Genomic DNA, 27,724 nt, shown 5'->3' on the forward strand with positions numbered 1-27,724 from the left:
TGACTTACTGAGTGACTGACAGTCAGGGCCTGTTCTAGGCCCTGTGGATGGTAAAGTGAAGCAAACAGAGGCCCTTTTCTCATAGAGCTTCCATTCTAGTGTGGAGAGATAGACAGTAAACAATCAAGCAAATATAAATATTTAACATGCCAGGTGGTGGTATGTACTATAAAGAAAAATAAAGTCAGCATGTGGCATCATGGCGATTGAGTGACTGCTGGGGGTTGTTTCATGTGCAGTGGGAAGCAAAGGCCTCACTAGAAGGGGACATTTGAACAGAGACCTGAAGGAAGAGAGGGAGCTGCCCAGCAGAGATGTGGGGAACAGCATTCCAGGTGGAGGGAACAGCAATGGCAAAGGCACTGAGGACTACATTCTCAGTGTGTGTGAACAACAAGAAAGCTGGAAGAGCTAAGCCCATGAGGGAGCAGGAGGTGGAACAGATGAGCCCAGGGAGGCCCTGGGGATCCTGTTGGAACTTGCAGCTGGCGATGCACTCCATAGGCAGAAAGCATGTCAGCTACTGAGTAACCAGTACTGAGTTCTTCTTGGGGGACTGGTTGAAATGCTATCTGGTTTGTGAAGGGGAAGGGTGGTTGATAGAACAGATAAGTGTATACACACAGGGCAGAAGCCAGTTAGCAAAAAGGATGAAAACTTTTGCCTTGGCGATGCCAAGGGGAGAGCAGGGACCGAGAAAGCAGTTAGACACTGTGGCGTGTGTGTGTGTGTGTGTGTGTGTGTGTGTGTGTGTGTGTGTGTGCTGGGGGGGTTGGTGAGGGTGGGGGTGCTGTGCAGTGCATCTACTTTTATTTTTGATTTTAGGCATTTGCTCTGCACTCTGAACCTTAAAATTTTATTACATTGCTTCCTTTCCATTATAAAAAAGAAAATAGTCATGTGTTCTCATCTGATTTGGGGCTCTGGCTTGAGCAGATGATGCTTCTACTTGGCTTGGCATACCATTCTTCAGGACCAGTGTCTGAAAGGAGGCCTGTGACTCTTCCTACCCACTAAATACAACCAAGCCCAGGGTGCAGTTACAGCTCAGTAGCCTACGAAAACAGGGAAAGCAGGACAATAAGCTGACTACATTTTGTGTCTCAAATTTATTGTGGTACCTTGTTTGTCACCAATAAATATTTGTCAAACTAAATGAGATAAAGAATCCATATTGGCCCCAGGGCTTCATTAATTCTTTTGTCAAATCTTTCCTCTGTACGCACTGCATGTCAGACACTGTTGTAGGCACTGGAGATTCCGAGGAGGAAAGACAATGTCCTGCCCTCAGGAACTTCCATTTGAAGTGTCTCTACCGAGCTCCCTACCACAGTGCTCATGACAGTGGCTGCTTCTTGGTAGTTCCTGATACCCTCCAAGGATGGCAGAAGTAGGAATCTCTTGATGCTTCTTTTCAAATATGAAATTCTTCCAAAAATGTTTTTCTCATTTTTTTTGGTGTCCCTGTTCTTCCAGAGCCCCAAATGTGTGCTTTGCATGCTTTTGGGTAACCCTGTATGAACAGTGGGAATTGACCCGAAGCCATTGTTTACTGAACAGAGCTGAGGAGTGGTCATTTACTTTGGGACTTCTGTTATGTGCCCAGGCTTTTTCTTTTTCTTTCCTCCTCCTCCTCCTCCTTCTTCTTTTTTGAAACAAGGTCTCACTCTGTCACCCAGGCTGGAGTGCAGTGGCGCGATCTCGGCTCACTGCAACCTCTGCCTCCCAGGTTCAAGCAATTCTCCTGCCTCAGCCACCCAGATAGCTGGGATTACAGGCATGTGCCACCACACCCGGCTAATTTTTGTATTTTTAGTAGAGATGGGGTTTTGCCATGTTGGCCAGGCTGGCCTCAAACTCCTGACCTCAAGTGATCCGCCCGCCTTGGCTTCCCAAAGTGCTCGGATAACAGGCGTGAGCCCAGACTTTTCTGAATAGAGTGATGCTGTGGGTTGAGTGTGTCCCCCATTGATATGTTAAAGTCCTAACCTCAGTACTTAGGATGTGACCTTATTTAGAAATAGGGTTGCAGACATAATGAATAAAGCTAAGATGAGGTCATGCTGGAGTGGTATGGGCCCTTATATCCAATATGACTTGGGTCTTTATAAGAAGAGGACACAGAAACATAGCATCCTTGTTATGAAGACCTGACTTTACAAATACAATAAAAAAAACTCAGACTGTGATAGAAAAAAATGCCCAGAGTTGTCTCACTCATTGCAGGCTGCATAGAAGTAACCAGGTGATGCTTTAGGACCTGGAAGAGAAACCTCCTTCCTGGATCACCCTCTCTTGGCTGAACATTAGTCTTTTTTTCTTTTTTTTTTTTTTTTTTTACAGGAACAGATGTGTGTCTCCTAGAAGTCTACAAAATTATACTTTTTACACACATTCTCAAATTTAGACACAGTCTCAAACTCACCATTTAATAAAGATATTGCTGAATCAGGTAGCATGTTGATACATTAAGATACCTTACTTTTTATAATACTGCAATTTATACATGAGAGAAATGGGCACGAACCTTGGCAGGCTCCAGGGCTCCTGGAGGGCCTGTCCCTCTGCCCCAAAGGCCTCCAGTAGCGCTGCTGTCCAGTCTCCTGCTGCCCGGATGTGCACGCTGAAAAAGTCCTCCTGGGGGGCAGAGGTAAGGGTGAAGGGGTGCCACTCCAGCGAAGATATGGCTGGGCACTGCACCAAGATGTACTGCCCTGGCGCCATTTTAAAGCCACGCTTTTTCATGTGAAGTTCCAGGACTCCAGAGGGGTGGCTTACCACCTATGTGAGAGTGAGAGAGTTGTTTGCCTTTGTCCTCGAAATAATAAAGAAACACCTTTCATTCCATCAAAGGTGTTGAAAATTTTAGATCAGCTTGTTTCAGGTGTAATTTACATATCCCATCTGCTGTTAGCTCCCAAAGATATGTGCCATCGCTTTCACATCTGTGTTTGCAACTCCAGCAAGAATGATGCTCCTCTCCTTCAGAGGGTGGCATTTGAAATAGCTGCACCCAGGTGCAATTGGTGCCCAGCATGTGAGTCCATGTGTCCAATGGCCAGGCTTTCCACAGCACAGTCAACCAGACCCAAGACAGTAGAAGCTTGCATATTATTATGCTTAGGGTTATTAAAATAAGTCACCACATTATCTCTGTGTTTTTAACATCTAGGAACATTTTGTTACCTTTTTCAATGATCTGCATCTTTTCTCAATGTCTTGTGAATTAACCCTCTTATTTCTTCAGGCTAAGTGAAAAACAATCTTCAAACTCACTTCAAACTCTTTTCTTGTTTTGTTTTCTTTTTGGTTGAGTCTCATCCTGTGTCCTGACTCCGCTCTGAGTTTTAGATGTAGGGAAGCATTGGACAAGGTTTCTAGTAGTGTTTATAAAAGCTTTATGACTTACTGCTTATCAGAGGGAAAGAGCTAATTTCCCTTCTTAGATTTCAATCTTGTTTCCTGAAAAATCTCTCCAGGCCCTCCTGTCTTCTTTTGTGACAAGAGGTATAAGGGAACAAAATCTAGCATCTAGATACTGTGACAGTATTTTTCCGTTCAAAAGAGAATTTCACAGCATTTTCATCATTGGTTCTAAGTTTTCCCTCTCCCTACTGGTATCTGTTCTGACATTGCTGTTAAATGGTCTCCCTCGTAACAGCTCGAGTAGGTTTCCAGAAGTTTTACAGTCTAGCTTTTGATACAGCCTGACATCCTTTGGTGCTTAACTTAAAAACAGCAACACAGAAACAGCTTAAAGCAGAAATAGGAAGCAATTTCTATACATCTGCTTTCATGAAGGCGGCTACAGAGATACAGGATTCTGTTAAAATTGTATTAGCAAAGTGGGATAGGCTTGGCTAACGGAGAGTTTCTTCTTGGACATTTCAAAAGCTGGGGGAGAGTATTTGGCACCTTTTCACTCTCCTAGGCATGCATTTTTTTGGTCTTGGTCTACCCCTTCCCGTCTTCCTCCAGCAAGAGGTAAACATTGTGAGGACGTAGAGATGTGAGGATGGGGAGCAAGACTGAAAAATGCTACCAGGAGCATGCTGCTCATGAGGGTAGAACTCTATCTTCATCCTTCATCTCCATTTTTCTTCCCCACAGTGGTCCCTCTTGCTCTGAACCTTATGGTGACTGTTTCCCTTTCCTCTGCTTGGTAGTCCCCAGTGAGAGTGTATAGATTTGAAAATGTTATTTGTTTGCAAAATTTGTGCCTTTACGTGGTGAAGAAGTGATTATCCTTCAAGTCACTATGACCCATGTAAAGTACACTCACTCCCCTTGCATTTCCCCCTAGAGAGAAAGCAAAATAAAGACAAAGCAGATCATTCCAGTGCTGTACAATAAACCTTTATCAGAATTCTGTGTGCCGTCTGGAGCCCTGATCCCTGTCTTCAGCAAAATTAGTCACACTAAAAGATGCTCAGGATACAAGCAATTATTAGAACAGAAGATGAGCCTCTAAATTACAGACAGTTCTGCAATAAAAATGGCAAATTAAAAATTTGGGCTAATAAAAAATTTTCATCTACACTCAGGCTTTTATTCAGACATAAAGCTACATGCATACCTTGGTAATGACAACTTCTTGTTGAAATCGCCAGAACCTAATTATTCTTTCACATGCATACAAGACCACAGGGCCTAAAATCCATTTCCAAGCCTGAAGAGAGTAGCAGAGAGAGAGAGAAAAAGGAAATGAAAATAGAATCCAAATATTTTCAATTTGAACCAAATCAATATACAACATGATGGGGATTAGATATTTTTCCTTTAACTTTGGGCCAGTTATCAGCAACAAAGATGTCTCCTTGTATTATATACTATAACATTCAATTATTTATTGAAGTCTACAAGCTTATTTAAGAGATTAAACTCTTCTATATTGGTTTTTATGCTTACTTGATCAATGATGCCTTTATGTAATTAGAAATAATTGAATTTGCAAAGAAATAAAAAAGCAGATTGATGTTTATATTACATATGATAGGGTCGTAAATGCTCCCAAACTCAAGCCAAAGTCAAAGCTACATTACTCACCCAACACAGGACATAAGAAATTACATTTTAAAATCTCAAATAGTAATTTTTTGGGCCAAGAATGCATCACAACTACAGGGTCTGCCTGAATAAACACAGAAACACACACACACACACACACACACACACACACACAGTTATTTGGAGTAAAATATAAAGTCAATTTCCTGGCACCTTAAATTTAAGTTTATCTAATCACAGCAAAAGGCTCAATAATTGTCTAGAGAATTGTGATGGTGAAAATGTCCATTTTAAACAAATCAGATGCTATGTTAACTTTTGATGAGTATAATGTGCATTACTGATGATCAATTTACCAGCAGGCTATTGTATCAGGAGCTCTGTACAACATAAGGTGTCTTCCTCAGTGAAAGGGAAGAAATGGGAAGTTACAATTTTTGAAGAGTTCTATTTGTACTGAACAATCCCATGAGGCATATGTATTACCTTGATTTTACAGAGGAAGGAGTTAAGACTCAGTCAGATCAACCAAATTGTCCAAGGTCATAAAGGGACGAAGGTGTTTCGTAGAGATGTGAACTCAGGTATGCCTGACTACCCAGCCTGAGTTCTTACCAGGACCCCAGGCTACCTCCCATGTGCATTGCCATATTATCGTGGTCCTTTCTGTCCAGCGCTAAATTGATACTGAGGCTTGTTTTCCAAAACATTAGAAACTCATGAACTCATTGAATTTTAGGATACTGCATGCTCTTGGAAATCTACTCTAATTCTTTTTTTTCTTTTTAAAATTTTTATTGTTTTCAATAGACAAATAATAATTGTATATATTCACGAGGTACATAGTGATGTTTTGATACATACAATGTATCATGATAAGGTCAGGGTAAATTACTCTATCCATCATCTCAAACACTGATTATTTCTTTGTATTGGGAACATTCAATATCCTCTAATTCTTTTAGAATTAAAAGAAGGAAAATCCTGACATTCTGGGAATGGGTCTGAGTTGCCTGGAGAGTCTGAGGTGGACCAGAGATAGCCAGGGCCAGAACTCAAGCCTTTTCATATGTCCCTACACTTCCTCCTAGGTTTTCTAAATCCACCACCTTACTCCTTGAATAGTATCTGGGGCGGGGGGTGGGGGCAGGAAGGATGTCTCGGTCTTCAGAACTCAGACATTCACCACCCCTCCCCGATTGACTCATTACTCAGTGCTCCCTGACCAGTCATCTGGCTCTGTCTCTTCTGTTGATGGGTCACAAGTCTTTTAGCATTATTTTTACTTCCTTTGAGTCACCTTTCTCGTTTTGTCTATTGCTTTTTGTTGATTTCTGGGTCTCTTCGCATGGTCCCTCTTCTCACCTACATCAACCCTCTCTGCTTTTTTTCCTGGGGGGGCTCTTGGCCTCATAAAAGCTAGACCTATGGGGGCAACACAAGGCAACACAATTTGACCCACTTATTTTTTCTGCCTCAGTAGGGCCCAGCAATGTGTTCAGAACAGCAAAGAGAATAAACCTTTTGTCCCCCTATGCTGTGGATGAGGTGGTGAAGATGAACAGAGTAAGGGAAATCTAGGAAGCGTCCCTGGGAAAGATGGGGTTGGACCGAGCAAAGGAATCCTTAGGTCTCTTATGCTTGAATGAACCAGAAAGCTTTTTGAGAATTGCTTTGGATGTTTATAGAAATGAGAGCAAGAATGCAGTTCTTTCTAAATGGGCTAAAAGAGATACTGGCAAAGACACTCAGTCTTCATATATTTTTACAAATAATCTTCCCCACCCATTTTAGAGAGTTTGGGGCATCACAAACTTCATTTTGGTGATGTCAAATCAGACACGATCTCTGATATTTTCCACGTTGATAAAATGTAATGGATTATTTTTCTTTCCATGGTTCAGGTAGGAGAATATAAGCTATTAATCCCCGACTCCATCTCAATCTTAGTATATCCTTTGCTCCGGGAGGAAGTAGCCAGTGTCGTTACCTGTGTTGTGCCTGGAGCCCCTGGAAGTCAGGGCCTGAGGGAGAGATGGCCAGGGATGAATATTAGGAAACTGTCCTTGCAGTGATACCCGGGACAGACAAGAGAGAATCAAGACAAGGAGGCCTTGATTCAGAGCAAGAGGGCCGTGTGTCAAAGTAGATGCTAGGCTGGGTGTCTGAAGACCTGGATTCTGGCCTTGGGGCCACCACCCCTCACTCTGTGCCACTAGGCACATCTTGAGATTTATTATGTTCATAACGTCCTGTTTTGTAAAATGGGAACTAGCTGGAGAAAATTATTATTTAGTTCCCTCCAAGCTCTTAAACACTTTGGCTTTATTCACAGAGATAAGTAGAACGTTGGGGCTATGTACTTGTAGCAGCTAGCAGCAGAGTGCTGACAAAATGGCGGTTATGGAAGCCAGAGACTTAGAGTGAATGCTGTGAATGGAGGAGAAAGTTCATGGCCACAGAGTTAGGGGCTCTGGTTCTTTAAGGTGGCTTTACTGGGAATGCTTTTTGTGACCATGGGTAAGACACTGAAACTGCTTGGACCTCAATTTCCTCAGCTATTAAATAATGGGGAAGAACTATTTAGTATCTAAGTTTCCTTAATGCTAAAATACTCCGTGGCTTCTTGGCTTTCTTTTCTTCTTCTTCAAAAAATGCTCAAAAAGTCACGCTACAGTGAGTATTTTATGATAGAAATAAAACGATGTTGATTCAAAAGCAGCAATAATGAAACTTGTTTCCTTCACTTTCACTCCTGGTTTTTCATTCCTACCAGAAAATAAGAACATGCTGGCTTTGATTTTATTTTATGTGTGTGTTTATGAATAGCCTCTTTTTCTAGACAATCAGATCTCCTGGGGCAGGTCCCACGTGTCTGAATCCTGTCTACTGCATTGCCAAGCAATGCACTTAGGCACTCGGTGAAGTTCGCTGAATTGACTCTACCTCCATCAGGGCTTTCTCCTTTACCACTAACAGCTTTCCCTAGTAATTACAAAGTGTCAGCCTTATGGTTACGATGAGTTGATGCTGTGGTTAAATGACATAAAGTGCTTCTCCGGCCTAGGACGACCAGGCATCTTTTGAGACTGGATTGCATCAGCAGCAAACCAGGAATCTGGAGTCCTGTATTTGTCAGTGCATTTGGGCTGGAAAGGGAGACTGAGACAAGCTGCGAAGATGAACAGAGTAAGGGAAATGTAGGAAGCGTCCCTGGGAAGGATGGGGTTGGACCGAGCAAAGGAATCCTTAGGTCTCTTATGCTTGAATGAACCAGAAAGCTTTTTGAGAATTGCTTTGGATGTTTACAGAAATGAGAGCAAGAATGCAGTTCTTTCTAAATGGGCCAGAAGAGATATTGGCAAAGACACTCAGTCTTCATATATTTTTACAAATAATCTTCCCCACCCATTTTAGAGAGTTTGGGGCATCACACACTTCATTTTGGTGATGTCAAATCAGACCTGGTCTCTGATATTTTCCACGTAAGACAAGTAGGGGAGGAGGGACTGCCGGGTATAGTTGGTTTCTTTAATCAGTTCCATTTACACGAGGTGAGGTACAAAACGTTATCTGTCCTAACACTGGGAACAGTGAACCGCTGAAGGAGAAATGATACATATTCTATTGATCAGAGCACCGTGAAAACGCCCTGAGTTAAGAGAGGCAAGGGAAGAGAAATGGAGCTTTGTAGAGACCGAGTAGGTGTGGTGCAGTGAAGCGCAGGAACCCTTCCTTGTCCTTGGGATGCCTTTCGGATTCAGTGTCTATAAGACATCAGAGAGAATATCGTACAGTTCAGCCAAGCGGTAATTGCATAGCCCACACACGCTTTGAATCAGGATCCATTACAAATAATGGGAGAGAGTGACACCCTGAGTTTGGGTGTGCAAGGAAGTGGAGCAGGGGAGAGTTAGAGAGAGATGAGCAAGGCCCCCTCTTAATGATAATTAATGCCGGCAAACGCTGCTGGGAGCAGGCCCTGGTCTGTATTCATGAGGTGTGGGGGAGTATTGATTTTTTTATGGAGATGCTGTAGCTGAAAATTTTAGAGAGGTATTCATGTTCCTCATTAATATGCAGGTTGGATAGTGGCTACTGAGAGTTGAGTTTAAGACAGAGACAATCTATACCGGCCATTAAAAGAACCACAGTCTAATGGGCATATCTATTCCGGTTCTCTCGGTTTTAATCATTCCTCCTAGTACTTTCACCCTTAAAATCCAGTGCTTAATTTAATATATTTGAGGGTTTTTTTTTTAAACAACGCAATCACTTATATTCTTCATATGTTGATGACTTAATTTCCTAAATCTTCATCATTTGTATACTATTATACCCTGTTATTCCATGTTTTAAGTGATGTATTTTTGGACACTTATTTCCTCCTACTGTTTATCTGCCAGATGCATTTATTTTCTTTCAAGCATCACTTGGTTGTCCCAAAGATTTGCACTGTTCTAAGATACCAGAAGAGGCCAGATAGGAATATTACTTCTCTTTCCCTATGCTACCAACTGTAATGGTTACCACCTACCCGGGAAATCTGACTTTTCAGATCTGTGGACATTATCATCTACACAAATTAATTAAGTATCTTCTTGGCTAACATCATCATTATTTCAGTTACAGGAGCTTAATTAGAACAAGAAGTAAATGCGTTTGACACACTAAGTTTTTGATCCTTGAAGTTGTCAAAAGAAAGAAGGCAAGCTTATAAAGAAGCCCTGAGCCTCATTTGGCTGTTCATTGACCTAGGTTTGAGCAGGGGTGCCAGTAATTCTCAGACTGGGATGGAAGTTATGCAGAGGACAGGTGGCTAAGGATGCAGGGAGCACAAAGAAGGGTGGTGAGGCCCAAGGCTGACTCCTCCAGGGACATCATTGTGCTGTTATGAATTCCCACCATATCAGACACTAGTATTTAAAGGTAAGTAGAAGAATACATTTCAAAGCTGAACATAGTGCTTTTGGCAGTAAACCTCTTTAAAAATTATCTGTAACTTGATTTCTCCATTAGCACACTTAATAAAGAGTTGGCTTTGTCTAGTGGTGAAATGTGCTTTCTTTTTTCCAAGCCTATAAAAACTCTGTATTTTAACTGTGGTGACATTTATTTTTAAAAGCTCCTGGGTTCATTCTTACCGAGGGTTCCTTGCCAGAAAATTGAGGCACGGGGCATTGGGCCACTGTCTGCCATTCTGCATAGCGGTCTCTACAGAAGGTGATGTTGTGCAGAGAGAGACTGTCTTGGGTTTGGCCTCGAACAATCCGACTTGTTATTTAAGAAAAGCAAAACAAAACAAAAAGCAAAAAACGTCAAACTGATTTTGAGCAGTCTTGTTCTCCCACAGGTATATATCCTACAGTGAGCTCTGAAATATCACTTCCAGTTCTTGAAACTCGGGCTGTCATTCATTTCCCCCAGCTTCTTTAAAAATAAGCATTTAAGAAGCTTCGAGTAACTTTGAAGATCCCAGAAAAGAAGGGCCCCTCTGTGGTATCCTGTGTTAAATTGAAAGTGTCTATATTAGAGAATTCATAATGAAGGGAAATTGTTTGAACACATCCTTTTGTAGACTGTTGAATTTAATTAGGTTTCATCTTGTTCTGATTGCTGATTTGGGCTAATTGGCTAACTTTGTACTATTTGGTTCTTTTGCAGATTTATTTAACTTCTACCCTCCTTGGGTTGTTTCTGAATGCTCAGAAGTCTTCAAGTGAAGGAGTCAAAATACCGGAAGAATGGTATTTTTCCTCCTAGTGACCACCAGCAAGCCAGTGTTTGACTCAGTCAAAACAGGTCACAATGGAGTGTGTCTTCAAGACGGTATTGATACATTTAGGAATGGAAAGAGAAGGCAGTCCTAATGACCGGAGCACTGGACGAAGAGTCCTATAATCCTGCTATATTATATTTGCCATGAGTGCACTCCTGACTGACCTTTGACAAGTAGCTTTGGTACAAGCTCCTAGGGTTCCTTCTTGGTGCACAGACAGCAAAGCCCAAGACATCAAGGTCAGGGAATCTGGGAATTGTTCAGTTCCTAGGTGTTTGTGAATGAAATGCATTGATCTGTTTTGAGAAACATGCTACTCTAGACTGAGAAACCTTAGCATCACACAGACTTATGTCCTGGACAGCCTGTGGAGTGGTGTGGCCCCTGTTATATCACAGGGCATGGGAGGAAGGAGCAGTAATACGCCCTTGGAAAACAGCCTGGTGTCAGCTAGAACTGACATCTTGGCTTTTGTCCCAGTCTGTTTTATGGAAGCCATCCAAACTTGATAACATCCCTCTGAGTTAGATGAGAAAAACTATCTGTAAATCTCCAATGTACAAATGATGCCCAGACATAGGCAGGGTGAATAGTAAGTGAGAGTCAGAGGAAAGATTCCAGATACTTTAACACTTTCATTCTCAGGCTGTAGGCAGCATTCCCCATAGTGTCTAAAAGAAGCCTCATATCATTCCACAAATGCTGTATCTTTTAAACATTTTAAACGTTTGAAATGTCTTCATCTATGCCATCCCATAATAGGAAGATTAGTGGGCCTTAACACATTCCAATAATCCTACTTTCACTTGGCACTTTGTGTAGAATTTGCAAATTGCTTTCGCTGTAAACAGTAGCTGTAGAATACTTCACACTGAGAAGATTAAATGAGGCCCTTATCCTAAAATAAGCTTTTCAACTAGGTTAAAATGACTAAAAATTTCATCTTATGAGATGTTATTTGGATATCAAAAATATCTCCAACGAAACACTGCCCATTGAAATTCTCTTGTGCTTCTACAATGCACCAGGGTGTGGATGTGGGGGACGTATGTTTAGGGGGGTAAGCACATCATGTCTGTGAATAGGGCTTCTAGATTCCCCTGAGTTATAGATAGCCTCATAAATGTGCTTCAGGGGTTAACAACCCCGGCGTCGGGGGCAGAATCAGCAGTAGAAAGGGAGGACTGACAGTCTCTGAGTTGGAACACACTGGGTCTACACACCATCCACCTTGCCCATCCCAAGTACAAAAAGGAATGTTGAGATTTCCACATTCAGAAGAGCCAATCCCAGAGACCTCTAGCTGAAAGAGAATGGAAAGCCTCTAGCCAGGCAGCAGAGTACGGGTGAATGTGGACTGACCCGGTTACTAAGGCTCAGCAGAGGCACAGGCAGTCTTTTAGGGTAAAATGCACCCTCAGGGGCACTTCTTCCGTGGAGAATGTGTTTCTGTCCACCAGCTGAGGGACCACGGGAGAAGTCTTAGGCACAGGCAGTGGCAGCGGCAGAACTGCCACCCCCTTCCAGAAGTAGGGGGCTGAGAAGACAGGAGCATTAAGGGTGAGGAGGGAGATTGGAGGCGTTGTTGACTTGTGGAAGGGCAAATCCCAAAGCGTTGTCTGTGGGCCCTACATGGGACCCAGAGTCACCAAGGCAGGTGTGACTTCCTAGGCCATGCCACTCTGCAGCTATGCGCTTGCTCTTCCAGGTCCGCGCAGAGTCGGAGGCCACCTCCGGGACAGGACCCTCCATGCTCAGCGGTGGCAATGGTGGGAGAATGAGGGGTGGAAGAGGGTATTCTGTGGTGCGGGAACAGAGGAGTTGCTGCTGGCAAGCCAAAAAGGGCATTAGCAACATTGCTGGCCACATTCTTGCTGGTGTTGAGGAAGGTTTAATTCCTAAAATGGAAGACTTGTTCTTCAGGGGCTTGCAAACCAGAGTAAAGGTCTGATTGATAGTCTAAAGACTGGCGTCCTGGATCTGACTCTGCTGTTTATTCATCATGGGACCTTGAGGGCATCACTTAACCCTCAGAACACCTTTTTCCTCTTTATGAAATGGGGACAGCAGCACCTTCTCTACATGACAGGACTGTTGTGGGGGTCAAGTTGATCATGTATATGAATGTGCTTTGAAAATTGTAAAATGGAAAAAAAGGCAATCAGTTTTTGAAATAATTAAAGGGACAAGCTAGTTCACAGACAGCAATTGATGTATTAGTCCAGGGCCATTTATTAATATTTAAAGGATTGAAAAGCATTATATTTGAGGGTGAACACATCAGGGGCTATGCTAGCTTCCTGAAGAAGAGATGAACCATATCAGGCAGGTATTGAATACCAGAACAGTGTTTTACGGGATGTCTGAGGAAAATGGGGTCCTAGAGGTCAAATGGGGAAACTGAGGCTCAGAGGACCTGAAGGGCTCACTCTGATAACTGGTGTCAGAGCTGCTTCTGGACCCCACACCAGACTGCCCATGCCACACATTGTCCCTGCCCGAACAGTGGGTTTCCTAGTTGACGGTTTTGGTTAAGCAGAAGTGAAATCTTGGTGTCAAAAATATATATCCTGAGTAATCTCACATAAATTGGATGGCAGAACAGGTACTGAATGAAACATAGATCTACTGTCATCCTGCATTCATTAGGATTCCTGAATTTTATAAACATGCCAAGACTCACTAACAGAGTCAGAGAGGAAAAATAAATATAATACTTCACCATCTATGTAGCTTATTTTCAGTGTTACTGAAAAAGCGTTTGCCACAGTCAATGTGCTTTTCACACATTATACGAGTCCTGTAGTCACCGCACGCCGGCTCCTTCATCTAAAGGACTTTCTAAGATTATTTTGGGACTCTCAGAGATAAAATCCTTGCAGAGGAGCGCAGTATGGACTTACCCCGTCCCATGGATGGCCAGGCTGAGAAAGAAGACGATGAAAACATGGTGTGTGTACCAGAACAACTCATAGGAGGCCTGTCTGATGAACTCAGTTGACGAGGTCATGATCAAGACTAAAGCCAGAGAGATCACCAGACCGGTGACGCCTGCTATTGTCCTTAGCAATTCAGTGGTTGTGTTCTAAAAAAAACAACAACAACAAAAAAAGAAACAAACAAAAAAAAACACCTTGACATTAAATATCCTGGCATATTTTTTTTTTTCATTTTTAGGACCAGTACTTGAGATTTCAAGCAGGGAGCCGTTCACAATGTTTCACTCAGAAGCACGTTAGCCTCAGCGAGGATGCAGGTGCAACTCAAGAAGCGAGCTTACTCTTCCACCCCCTTCCCACCAGCTTACGGTGGTTACTTGCTTTGCTAAAATTTCGTAAAATACCATTTCATCAATCACATTTTTTTATTTTTGTATATATCATTTCACATCAAAGTTATTATACTGGAAAAAAAACCCACATAAATAAATTAAAAAAAAAAAGCTGGGCATGGTGGTTTGAGCCTATAGTCTCAGCTACTCAGTAGGCTGAGGTGGGAGGATCACTTGATCCCAGGAGTGTGAGGCTGCAATGAGCCGTGATGCTGCCTCTGCATTCCAGCCTGGGAGACAGAGTGAGACCCTGTGTCTAAAACAACAACAACAATAACAAAATGGGAAAAAAGAAAAAACAAAAAAAAAAAAAACCAAAGTGATTATGTTGAATTGAAATTAGGGCAGCATGAAAAGAGCATTTTAAGATAAAATATTGCAAAATAAATCTGAGTTTTAAGTTTTTAATCTTCAAAATAACTATGTGGATCACCATGCTTAATTGCATTTTAACATTAATAAACACATTTTTTTGAGAGGTCCCTTGGGGCGTTCCTAATAAAGCAGCTGCACACTCAGTTCCCTTGGTAGTTGTTCCTTGCTCTTGCTTTTTAATTGGAAAGACCATGACTTGCATTTCTTTCACGCCATCTCCGGGGGCCTGGAATAAGGCTTGGTAAATCCTAGGTGATCAATAAAGGTACAGCTATTCTTATCTGGTGGACACGGCTAAACGGCCAGAATTCTGACCTGTGAGTGCAAGGGACAGTAAAATAGCCTTTTAGAATAGCATCACACAGCAGTTTATTTTCATTGTGAGTTTCCCATGTTCTTGCCAAGTCATTAGTATTCATACATTGTGTTACTATCGTTGAGACGGCCATGAGCTCAATAAACTCACTATATCTTTTGTCAGTAAAATCTCATTAATTTGGGCGGCTTTGAGATCTGGAGGTAATTCGGACAGGGACTTCTTCATTATTTTTTCTTCATAGAGCAAAGAGTGGAAATAAAATTGAAAGGGGTATGTCTCAAACATTTAAAATATTTTCTTCTCAAGTACCTTCAGGCATTTTAGAAATCCATTTACATCATATGATATGCTAATTTCACATCATTCTTCCTTGCCTATTAAGGCAAATCGCCATGTCTCTTTCTTGCAACACATTTATAGACTGGTTACAGTTGCAATGTATCCTCCAAAACAATCCCACTGCATCTCTAAAAATGCTCTATAATGTACACTCTGTGTTATTGATACTCATCTCTCTCCAAATACCCTAAATTAGAGGGTTTCCTGAGCTTAATTAGTACTTACATAGTATATTGCTTCTAAAATTTTGAAATTACTGCATTGGTAGTAGCTTTATTATTTTTCTAGTAAGATATATAATCACATTGCTTGAAAAGTATTTTTAATAAATACTATTTATTATATAGACTATGCAAAATGTTGAGATTTATTCTTGAGTGTGTGTAGCAATGGATTTTCCAGCGTCTTAGTGGGGAAAAACAGCAACCTCAGTAGGTGCCTAGACAAATGCTGTGATTCAATGGACGGACACAAAGGCATCCCCACTCATAAGGGCAGCTGTAGTTCTGATTCGGAAGTGTGAAATTTTTGCTTCCAATAGCTGTCAGCTAAGAAAAGGTAGCTCAAGCCGAGCGCGGTGGCTCACGCCTGTAATCCCAGCACTTTGGGAGGCCGAGGTGGGCGGATCACGAGGTCAGGCGATCAAGACCATCCTGGCTAACACAGTGAAACCCCGTCTCTACTAAAAATAACAAAAATTAGCTGGGCGTGGTGGCGGGTGCCTATAGTCCCAGCTACTCAGGAGGCTGAGGCAGGAGAATAGCGTGAATCCGGGAGGCGGAGCTTGCAGTGAGCCGTGATCGCACCACTGCACTCCAGCTCTGGCAACAGAGTGAGACTCTGTCTCAAAAAAAATAAATAAATAAAAATAAAAAATAAAAGAAAAGGTAGCTCAACTAAACCTGATCAATGGCCTGATATTGAAAATTATCTTAGGCTAATTAGGGGACATGACATGGAACAAGTGTCCCAAAACCAGATTTTGAGTTTTTGTTCTTTAAATAAGGCTGCATGGGGAAATGGTCACTTAAAGAGATGGCCTGGATAAGAATGGAGGGATTTTCATTGCTGAAGTGTATTGCCTTACGGCTTTTCTTGGGCAATAAAGATATTTTTAGTCTGGTCAACGTGCTGCACACATATGCCAATATGGTGGTATGTGGAAAAAAACTGAGATCAACCACAAAGAAAGAGGTAGGGGTGAATTAAGGGAGACGACCGTCTTCATCTCGGAACATAGATTGCTGTGGCTACATTTTTGGTTTTCTTTTTGTTCCCCATAGCTGCTGACAGTCTGTGCACACAGGTAATTAGCATTAATGATGTCACTGGCCATGCAGGTCTCATTATGAAATTAGCTGCTTTGCCCAGTATCTGATTTGGCAAAGCAGCTATTCACATATGTGCCAATGTATGAGGCATTCGGAGAACAGATCCGGAAAACAATCTGCAGATTGAAAATGAAGACATCCAATTTATAATCTCTGTGTTTAGCTGGCACTTCACCTTCTTTATGAGTCTAACATCAGTGAAAAAATATCTAATCCTGAACTGCTTTTAAAATGTTAAATTTTAAAATATTAGGAATTTAACAGGTTACTGCGTTTCTAGTGTGTGTGTGTATATATATATAAATTAATTAGGTGACATATCTTTTTCTCCTTGCTCATAACTTCCCAGCAACATTAATGAGAAAAAAATAACTTTTTAGAAAATGTGAAATTGAAAACAAATTCACATATAAATTCATTCTCCAGCTCTTTTATTAAAAGCTTTTCAATATAGCGTTCCTGATTAGAGGACTGGAAAAGGACGGATTTTTCAGGGGAGAAGCTTGTTAGCATGCAGGAACTCACTGTGGGGAAGGTCCGGACAGGGTTGAGGTAGCTCTCGTTAGGGGTGTTGCCCAGCTTGGAAAGTGCGGCCAGAAGTCCCTGGGCCTCCTCGGACTGGCTCCAGTGGTAGCGTTCCAGGTTGAAGAAATGCGCCACGATGTGGATGGCTAGGACAAGGAGATGACACCAAACATGCACCCTGTGGCTTGCTTTCTCCCTAGTTACTAAAAAATACAGTGTCTCTGTGCTCAAGTTTCTCTGTTCTGGTTTTTGTAATCTCCAAGGAAAAGTGATGTATTTACACATCTTTCCCAGTGCTTTGAGTGGAGTGGATTGAATACTTCCAAAGATACTGTACAAAAATCTCCACATTTATTTAAGTTATATTAATAAATAAAGTAAATCTCAGTTCATCATAAAGTGTATAGTTATCATGGAAGTGGAATAAATGTTATGATATCTCAGCATAATTATATATGAAATAATTCTAAAAGAAATAATGATATATAACTTCTTAAGAAATTGGAAAGCATTATTCTAGAGTACTGTACATTATACATGCTGATATGTATGTATATGATACTGTACAAAAATCTCCACATTTATTTAAGTTATATTAATAAATAAAGTAAATCTCAGTTCATCATAATTTAAAGTGTATAGTTATCATGGAAGTGGAATAAATGTTATGATATCTCAGCATAATTATATATGAAATAATTCTAAAAGAAACAAGTATATATAACTTCTTAAGAAATCGGAAAGCATTATTCTAGAATACTGTACATTATACATGCTGATATGTATGTATATAATGTAAATGATAGATACCAGGAGAGATATTGTTTTTGTTCTCTTTCAGCCACTCTATTTTCTGTTTATTCCTTTCCACATTTTAGTATACAGTAGTCCCCCCAGTCTAAAGTTTCACTTTCTCCAGTTTCAGTTACCTGAGGTCAACCACAATCAGAAAATATTGAATGGAAAATTCCAGGAATAAGCAATTTGTGTTTTACACTGCATGCCATTCTGAGTAGCATGATGAAATCTCATGCCATCCCGCTCTGTCCCACCTGGGATGTGAATAATCCCTTTGTCCAGCATATCCAGTAGCCCTCTTGGTTATCAGATCAACTGTCACGGTATCCCAGTGTTTGTGTGCGAGTCATCCTTATTTTACTTAAAAATGGCCTCAAAGCGGAAAAGTAGTGATGCTGGCAATTCGGCTACACCAAAGGGAAGCCATCAGGTGCTTCCTTTAAGTGAAAAGGTGAAAGTTCTCTACTTAATAAGGAAAGGAAAAAAACTGTATGTGGAAGTTGCTAAGATCTACGGTAAGAACAAATCTTCTATCTGAAATTGTGAAGAAGAAAAAAGACATTTGTGCTAGTTTCGCTGTCACACCTCAAACTGCAAAAGTTACAGCCACAATGCATGATAAGTGCTTATTTATGATGAAAAAAGCATTACATTTGTGGGTGGAAGACATGAAAAGGAACATGTTCTGATGGATGGCAGTCGGGGTCAGTACTATCCCCTGTTTCAGGCATCTGCTGTGGGTCTTGGAATGTATACCCCGCAGACAAGGAGGGACTACTCTATATGTATATATACCCCTGCACATACACATTCACACATAAATTTGCATGTGTTATTTCTGGTGGATTGAAATAAGCCATTATTTATGGAACTAAATGTACCTTCTGTATATTCTTAAGAAGTAAATGGAGCTTTCTAATTCTGGGACTTGGTGGTGTCTAAATTCTAAATGAAGAGAACAAGCTTAAGAACCCAGCATCGTCTGGCCTGAGGATTCTGTGTCTGATGCTGCTCTTTCCAAATCTGTTGGGAAGCCAGCAGTCACAGCTAGACAACAACATACCGATGCTTTTCCTGCAAATGAAACTCCCGCTGGGTGGCCAGTTGATAACTGCCATTGGGATCAGATTCGTGTGTGAAATGAGAATTCATTGCCCGGGGTATAGATAATTTCCCAGTTGATATCTTCTTTTCTTCTGCACCCACAGTGAGAAGTAGCAGGGCCTATGACTATCATAAAGTCTATACAGGTTGTGAGTGAGTTACGGGATCCTCCGTGGTTGTACATTGTGGGTTGAGGTGTGGAAGAAGATGTGATGGGGAAAAAGAAACAGCAAGAACTTCTGAGAATATTCGTGTCATTTTGGTCCCTGTGGTCCTAGGAGCAGATTTATTTAGAAATGCTATCTTCTATGCAACCTCTTTTCTTTGTCACCTGAGTTCCTGCTATCACTCCCTTTTCTGATTTGCAAAATTTTCTACGCATGCCTTACAACTCACTTCAAAAGTTGACTTCTATCACACATTCTTCAATTTCACCAGCACAAATGATAGTATGACCATAGCATTTCTCAGATATTACTGTTGCAGTATCTATTTATCCCTGCACCCCTGATGAACTTTGACTTCTCAAGGATGGACTTTATTCATCCTTGAAACCTCAGCACCAGTTTGTATTTGACAATTATTTGCTTAGTGACAATGAGATTAAAGAAAGGTAGAAGGGGTAATGAAAGGGTAGGAAAATCAATCTATAAATACAACCTTGTTGGAGTAGTGTTTTCTCTGCTGACATATACATATATATATATATATGCTATATATATATATTATATATATGCTATAGATATATAATATATATGCTATAGATATATAATATATATATGCTATATATATATAATATATATATGCTATATATATATATATAATATATATATATTGCACATTTTTCTTTAGCCTTTAAGTTGAAAATCAAGTCAAATATACTTCAGGTTGAGGCTCACCCAAGAAGGCAAAGCACTCGATAGTGTTTCCGCATCGTGATGTTTACTGCTTCCTTATGGCTTCAGAGAGGTTAGCACCCACGAAGTACTATGTTTCCTCCCTAGGTGCTTTGTCAAAATATACAGCCATGTCTATGAAGGTGCTGCCTTGTTTAGCCTCAGCATCCACAAAGCTGGAAAGGCTTATCTAGCAGGAGTCTTTTCCAATATGCTACATGCAAAATGGAAACTATTTGCTAAATTGAACACAAACATTGTCCAGTATTCCTAATTGCTGTTTTCTGATAATTATCTCGACGTCTTTAAAAAGCAGGTAGTACGTCTCATAGCAAACATATTGAATATTTACTATACAACAGACACTGTTGTAAATGCTGTAGGCATATTACCTGATTTAACCCTCCTCAGGTATCAGCCTTCTTCTCATTCGACAGACCAGTATTCAAAGAGTTAAGGAATTTGCTGTTGATTCGTGATGAAAGTGGTTTAGTGATTTGCGTGACTCGGTGCCCCATCTTTTGACCATCAAGCTGTATTGCTTCGTTTGACTAATGAGCAATTATCATACCTGATTTTTAATTGAAAACTAGTTTTTTCTATGGGCTTAGATAAAACTCTGAATGGTTTACCTGGTGTCTTTAATCTAGAGTCCAACCGTTTCTAAGGCTTCTGGCTGATCACAACATTTGGAGTCCTCATTGTAGGTTGGTGTAAATGCTCCTTTTATATTCTGCCCCTTGACCCTTACTCCTCTCCTCCTAGCTTTCTTTAATTCTCTCTCCATAGACTAGGGCACTCCAGACAGGGAGTGAAGCTGTTCCCAATTTACAGAAATAGAAACTGAGCTTCGGACCAAGTTAACTGATGTGTTTACCATTGCATAATCCATATATGATAGTCAGAAAGAGAAGGCAGGATACGTTTTTTATATTTTATAACTTCTTTTTTGCAGGATAAGTTTTTATATTTTATAACTTTTTTTTTTTTTTTGAGACAGAGTCTCCCTCTGTCACCCAGGCCAGAGTGCAATGGCGCGATCTCAGCTAACTGCAAACTCTGCCTCTCGGGTTCAAGCAATTCTTCTGCCTCAGCCTCTAAGTAGCTGGGATTACAGGCACACGCCACCATGCCCAGCTAATTTTTAGTAGAGATGGGGTTTCATCATGCTGCCCAGGCTGGTCTCAAACTCCTGAGCTCAGGCAATCTGCCCTCCTTGGCCTCCCAAAGTGCTGGGATTACAGGCGTGAGCCACCACGCCTGGCTTTATATTTTATAACGTTCTTCTTCTCTGTAATGAGTTGTTGATTGCAATTTGTTTTCTGTTAGATTGATTTCCACATGAGAATTTGACACTGTTAAACTAAATTTAAGTATGTTGATTGAATGAACAAAGATATTAAACTATTTACTTATTCTTGTTGCCAGGTCTCCCATAACAGAGCTGAAGAAACTAATGAAGGAGTACGAGAAAGCCCCAGATGGTTTTCAAGAGGCAGCTTCTGAGGGAATTTGTAAAAACTATTCTCTCCAGTATTTGTCACACACTTTAAAGTTCATGTCTTACATGTTCCCTTGCTCTCGCTACCTCCATTTTGTTTTCTTTCACAAGGTAGAACATACAAAGTGGAATATTTTATTTATCTCAGGCATTCTCAGAGAGAAAACTGCTTATGCCGATTTTGTTTGTCTAAACATTTTATTTTCCTCTTAGATCTGATCCTAATTTTACAGCAATCTTGGCTTGGAGCTAAAGATATACCAACCGCTAAATTCAGAATTGTTGTGACTTGATAGACACCAGGGGAGATACTATTTTTGTTCTTCTTTAGACATTGTATTTTCTATTCCTTCCCTTCTACATTTTAGGCTTTTAAAAATATAAGTAGCCATGCTGTTTATGTTACAGGGACAAGGGCTACAGAGGTGGGATAAAACAGTGATATGGTTTGATTTCTCCCTCCCTTAGTCATCAATATCATTTCATGTTATTAGATTTGATATTAGTATGTAACAGAAAGAATACTGAAGAGGATACTTCTCAGTCACCTAACTTCTTTTAGGCCCTTTTTTTCCCATCTGTGAAATGGGTAGATTGTACTAAACAAGGTTATCTAAGCCCCCTTCCAGCTGTGTGGCTCCTGTGTCTTTCTCTGAAGTTAACTGGGAGCATATTTATCATCTAAAAGGGATTTGTAGACCAATATGGAAGTAATGCAAACACAAAGCTCATGTTTTCATGTTTCCAAAGCCAACTCTGGCTTAATTGGGGCTCTTCAGTCTTGCAGTAAATCCAACGCCATTAGCTATGCGGGGGAGCTCTTCCTGGGCCTCTGTGGACTTTCTACAGTACGCACTTCTCTGCCCTTGGAGGACCGCAAGACACACATTTCCATAACCCACTCAATTGTGCCAGGCTAAAAGGTGCTATAGCTGGATCTTTCTACAATTTTGTGTTCTCCCCAAAGTACTTTTAAGAGAGCAGCAATTTTGGAAACACTACACATGCGCATTTAATTGGTATGTGGACTTCTGAGTTCAAATAAGGAGCTTTCCATTGAAGAGTGAACCAAAAAAAAAAAAAAAAAAAATCATAAAGGCTACTATTAGAGCCAGTTGCCCTGAGAAAGTTCTTTTACCTTCCTTCTTTCATTTTATTTTTCAGGAGATCAAAGTGAGCATAATTGGGGGGAATCTTGGAAGTGTGGTCTGTCCTTGCTGTCTTTCTGCCTGCCTGTCAGTGATAACAGTCATTTTGGAGTTAGTCACCTCCTAATTAAGCAGCCTTCAGAAACAAGGACCCAGGGACAGATTCTGGCTCTGCTTCTGCAGCCAGAATTTGGCTGCAAACTTTTAAACCTGTGGTCTGATTTCTGTAGAAGGATCGTTGACTCTGGCACCCTGTGTGTGCCACGCATTTGTAAATCACATTAAATCCTGTCAGGCAGGGCTGGGGATGCAGCTTCCCTGAAGCTCCCAGAGCCTCAGGGGGAACTGGTTAGGAGCAATCCTTGAGGGGTCAGGACTGAAGAGTTTGTGCCTTTAGGGCTATTCTCAAGCCTGGGTCTCCAAATCTTTATTTTCTGGGCACCCTTATTCTGTGCTCTCTCCTCTCACCCTGCCCTTGTTATGTTTATTGATGTTTGTAGACTAATTTTAGCAACTCATCAGGAGCTGCACTCGGCTAATTGTTCACTCCTGGAACCTGGCAGAAGCAAGCTGCCGACTCTGCCAGGGAGAGCTGCCTGGGTCACTATTTAGACACCCCTTGATGGAAGCTGGAGCTCAAAGTACTACTTTTCAATTGGAAGGGTCTTCAAGGTCTGCTGTGGACCAGGGACTCCAGAAAGATCTGCATTAATAAGAACGAAGAGGCTGTGAAACTATGATTTTTATACCCATGGGGTTATAGGTCCCTGAAAATGATTTATTAGTGGTTGAAGAATGCTCCGGCAGCTCTTATCATAGGCAGACAAGCAGGAAGGCAGGAAGCCAAAAGAAGAGTTCCTGTCACTGCATTTTCCGTGATGTCCTTGATTACAGATACCATTGTTTTGCCTCTTCCCTCCTCCTCCCTCGCCTTCTTCCACCAGTCTCTAATTACATCCTTTAATGATTTGACCAATTAAAGCCTGCAGTTCAGCTTACAGGGGAACGGATGAGAAATTAGAGGTTGGCATGCAAACTTCGATGTGGTCGCACTTTTTCCAAGGTTACACACCTCTATTAAGCCAGCAGGCTATTTGAAATGCAGCATAATGGGCGATGCTAATAAAATAAGCGCAGGGACATTTTCAGCTGCTCCCAAGTGAATCTACCAGAAGAAGAAAATGTGAAAAGCAGAGGTGTTTGCATGAAACCAAGGCTTAGCATTTTTTTTCCTCCCAAAAGCGCAGTTGCCAGACGCATTTCTTCGTTCATGTGAAATGTAATAATTGCTTTGTCAGGGTTTGGGAGAAGCAGAGAGCTTTCTCCCCAGCCTCCTGCATTTGCAGGGAGTGGAAACACCGCAGCTCTGCTGGTCGCCATGGAGGAGTGGGATGAGGGGCACTTTGCTCTGGGTTGCAGTTCTGACCCTGCTGGGGGAGCCCCAGGAGATATCTGGGAGCCTGGCAAAGCAGTGGGGTTCAGGAGGAAGGGGGCCGGAGAGAACACTTGATTGTCTCCAGGGATGTGTGAGGGAAAGAGGGAGAAAGAGCACCCTGCTTTCTCTGGTTGCAGCAGAATGTGAATGTATTATCTTGGACAATTGACATTGTTTGAATCTTTTCCCTCCCCACACTCTGTTCAGTCCACCCCAGACTGCTCATGACTCCCTGAACAACTCATGCATATGTGTCCTGTACCATTCCCAGTGATTCCTTCAACCTCTCTTGCCTGCTGGCTCTCACTCATCCTCAGTTTTCACCAAATTTCTTGAGGACCTCCTGTGCGCCAGGGACCAGGGCAGCCAAGAGGCGTAAGGCACAGGCTCAGCCCTGGAGGTGATCAGCTTCTGGGGAATGAATTTCACTCTGTGGTAGAAAGTATGACCTTAGACCCCTCAGAGGCTGCGCTGGGGGAGGTAGGCCAGGATATGAGTCCTGGGCATGGCCATATCTCACCCATTTAGCACCATGAGGAGGACAGAGCATTTCAGGCAAAGGGGATCCCTGGATCAAAGGCACAGAATGCTTAGGAACTCCTAGGAGCTGGGTGTGCCCAAGGGGAAAAGCCAGGGGGATATGGCAGGAGATAAGACTGTGGCAGGGGGCACAGGCAGGGGGCACATGCATGGTCATTGGAGCCCTTGGTCAGGCTAAGGGCTTTGGATTTGATTTTATTTGCAATAGCAGCAAGTGAATAACCCTGTATTCTGCAAACTTCCAACTAACTCTGATCCTGACAATAATCTGCACATCTCATTGAAAAATTTTTTTTTTTTTGAGACAGAGTTTTGCTCTTATTGCCCAGGCTGGAGTACAATGGGGCATTCTCGGCTCACTACAACCTCCACCTCCCGGGTTCAGATGATTCTCCTTCCTCAGCCTCCCAAGTAGTTGGGATTACAGGCATGAACCACCATACCTGGCTAATTTTTGCATTTTTAGTAGAGACAGGGTTTCACCATGTTGGTCAGGCTGGTCTCCAACTCCTGATCTCAGGTAATCCACCCGCCCCGGCCTCCCAAAGTGCTGGGATTACAGGCGTGAGCCACCACGCCCGGCCTGTATTAGTATTCTTTTAACTCCACAGAAGAAAGAGCATGAGGAACTTCTCAGATATCACACTACCAATCAGTAGCAGGGGTATAAAATAATTTGGTTACCTGATTTTAGTCAACAGCTGCTTATACTAAATTATACTCCATCCTAAAACAGCCCTGACCACACTAGTTTCAGAAAGTTATAGCTGCTTTCAGGGTATCTTTAACACGGGGGATATTCATTATACGTTTCTAATGCATTGGTATTATTGATACACGATTACATATAAAGAAATGTACATGCCCAAAAGTTTAAGGAGAAAACTATTTCATAACACATTTTTCTTATTCTTTGCTTTCTTTTCTGTTGTATTTTTTTTTCTTTTTGAGATGGGGTCTCACTGTGCTGCCCAGGCTGGAGTGCAGTGGCACAATTTTAGCTCCCTGCAACCTTCGCCTCCTGGGCTCAAGCTATCCTCCCACCAAAGCCTCCCAAGTAGCTGGGACTATAGGCATGCACCACCACGCCCAGCTAATATTTTTTGGATTTTTGGTAGAGACGGGCTTTCACTATGTTGCCCAGGCTGGTCTCGAACTTCTGAGCTCAAGCAATTCACCTGCCTCAGCCTCCCAAAGTGCTGGGATTATAGGCGTAAACCACCATGCCCGGCCTCTTTTCTGATGTCTTTTGATGCTGGCTGTTTTTTTCCCCCTTCTCTCTGTAATATCTTTAAAACTTTCTCTTAGAGTTCAAGTCTGTCTTAAAGCTATTGTATTGTGATAATATTCTTGCCATTTTACTGTGTTATGCAGAAATCAAGCTATTTAAGATTTTAAAGGAAGCCTGGAGATTCCTTGAATTGCTTCTGTGATGAGCCTATCAAGGAGCGATCTGGTCTCTGTTTGGACATCACCCATGATGGGGAATTCAGTATTCTTAGGGGAGCTTCATTCTAATTTTAGATAATTTTCAAGGTGCGGAAAAGATTTCCATTCCTGAGCCAAAATTTCTTTCCCTGAGTCTTTATTCCTTCATGCATTCGCTCATTCATGAACGGTTATTGGTGCCTACGCATACTCAGCACTACTGTGGGCCTTGGAATACAAAGATGAACCAGCCTTATTTCCTCCCCTTTATCTCTGAGCTGGTTTTCTCTAGGACACGATGTCTTTTTACTCTTATTTCCTAACAAACCACAAAGACCTTTTACAAAGCAGTTCTCAGGTTGGTTTAATCCAGCGTTGAAGACAGTCACTGGGAGCATCTTCCCCTCATGTCTCACTGCACCCCCAAAGTTGTGTTAATTGGCACTCGGGCACCGTCTGTCATGTCTTGTTGCTTAATTAAATTCACATTTGTTTTGAGTGTTCCTTTTACTCTGCTTTTTTTTTTATGCATGAGAGGATAAAAACAAATGAGGAAAACATTTTATAGTTAAATTAGTTTGAGAGAAACAGTCCTGAATCATAACTCCTTATCGCTCAGATAGCCTTTTATTTCAATGTCTTTGTTTTCCAGCAAAACCACAAGCTGGTTGATGACTGCTCCTCCTCCTTTCTTCCTCATCAGAGTTTAACCTTGGCCTTGGGTGCTAATTTCTAGTGCCTTCCTCTTAAATTAGAAATATAATAATAGCAATAACACTTTATATGCCGATAAAGCTTCATGTCTTTTCAAGACCCTTTTATGTCCATTACCTCACTATGATTCAGAACTTGGCTCACATGATCTTTCTTTTCTTTTTTCTTTTTTATTGCCCACAATACTATTTGACAGTCATTTTCCTACGACTGTGAATGAGATTTTGAACAGAGGTCAATTTTATTTCCAAAGTGAATTATATTGAATAACAAAGTGTCCCTTTTTCAAGTAAGTATTTATTATTGTATTATTAACAAGCTTAACTATTCGCAAATGAAGTTTCACCAACTTTTCTTTGACCAATTGAGGTCTTGGTAGGGGAAAACGTATAGGTAAGTATAAATTGAAAATGTAAAAACCCATTTGTGTAAGGTTTACAGGGTCAGATAAAGGGCAAAGTTTTCTTTTACCTGAGGGTGAGACTTGGGGAAGGCAGAGTTAAAACAAAACTATGAAGTTAGGCATCAGATATTGTAAAATCCATTGAGCAATTAATAAGTACTTACTTGCATTAACAGCTATCCCATAGGCGACCAGTTTGTGAAATCTGAGGTTTTTGTCTAATTGCCTCCTCCACGGTCCTCTGCAGCACTAGAGTAACAAAAAAATATGCCTGATTTATGGAAAAATTGCAGTGAAAACAATCTCATGAAAGTTAAGAGAGTAGGAATCAGGCTCTGCCTCTAAACTGCTTAAAGTGGGGCTATGTGACACAAAAGTTAATGGCCATTAGTCAAACAGGCAAATCAAAAGGTTATTAGTTGCTTTGCTGAACTCTCAACTCAAAAATGATTGACTTATTAGTTCTCTGTTTATAATTCAAAACTCTTGAATAAGCCTGCCAAAATACATGCCTCACTCAGCTTCTTTGTTTAAAAATTTAAGGTAATAGCCATCATCCTCATTCATGTGTTTTAGGTAGTCTGAAAATTATTCCTACATATACAAAGGCAAATATGCATCTATATATAAATATTCATAAAATCATGATGATGATTATACAGGCATACCTCGGAGATATTGTGGGTTTGATTTCAGACCACTGCAATAAAGCAAATATTGCAATAAAGCAAGTCACACAAAAGTTTTGATT

General features: G+C 41.3%; 1 protein-coding gene across 1 annotated transcript in view, besides 1 other annotated feature; it reads right to left on the reverse strand.

The window, feature by feature from the left end:
- The window catches only part of NOX3 (NADPH oxidase 3), a 60,472-nt gene that overhangs the window by 30,899 nt on the left and 1,849 nt on the right, over window positions 1–27,724 (reverse strand). The window contains exons 4-9 of the mRNA NM_015718.3: window positions 27,138–27,222; window positions 17,007–17,152; window positions 13,690–13,871; window positions 10,152–10,281; window positions 4,577–4,669; window positions 2,528–2,781 (exon numbers count right to left, since the gene is read on the reverse strand). Coding sequence (NP_056533.1) covers window positions 2,528–2,781; window positions 4,577–4,669; window positions 10,152–10,281; window positions 13,690–13,871; window positions 17,007–17,152; window positions 27,138–27,222 — 890 coding nt within the window. The remainder of the gene's footprint in view (window positions 1–2,527; window positions 2,782–4,576; window positions 4,670–10,151; window positions 10,282–13,689; window positions 13,872–17,006; window positions 17,153–27,137; window positions 27,223–27,724) is intronic.
- Window positions 1,271–2,228: an enhancer, noted in NCBI's record as "H3K27ac-H3K4me1 hESC enhancer chr6:155748671-155749628 (GRCh37/hg19 assembly coordinates)". NCBI's record gives its function as "activates a minimal SCP1, AML or CMV promoter by ChIP-STARR-seq in primed H9 embryonic stem cells {active_cell/tissue: H9 hESC(primed)}" and the evidence as "EXISTENCE:reporter gene assay evidence [ECO:0000049][PMID:30033119]".

Source organism: Homo sapiens, chromosome 6 (assembly GCF_000001405.40).
Source record: "Homo sapiens chromosome 6, GRCh38.p14 Primary Assembly".
Taxonomy (NCBI): Eukaryota; Metazoa; Chordata; class Mammalia; order Primates; family Hominidae; genus Homo; species Homo sapiens.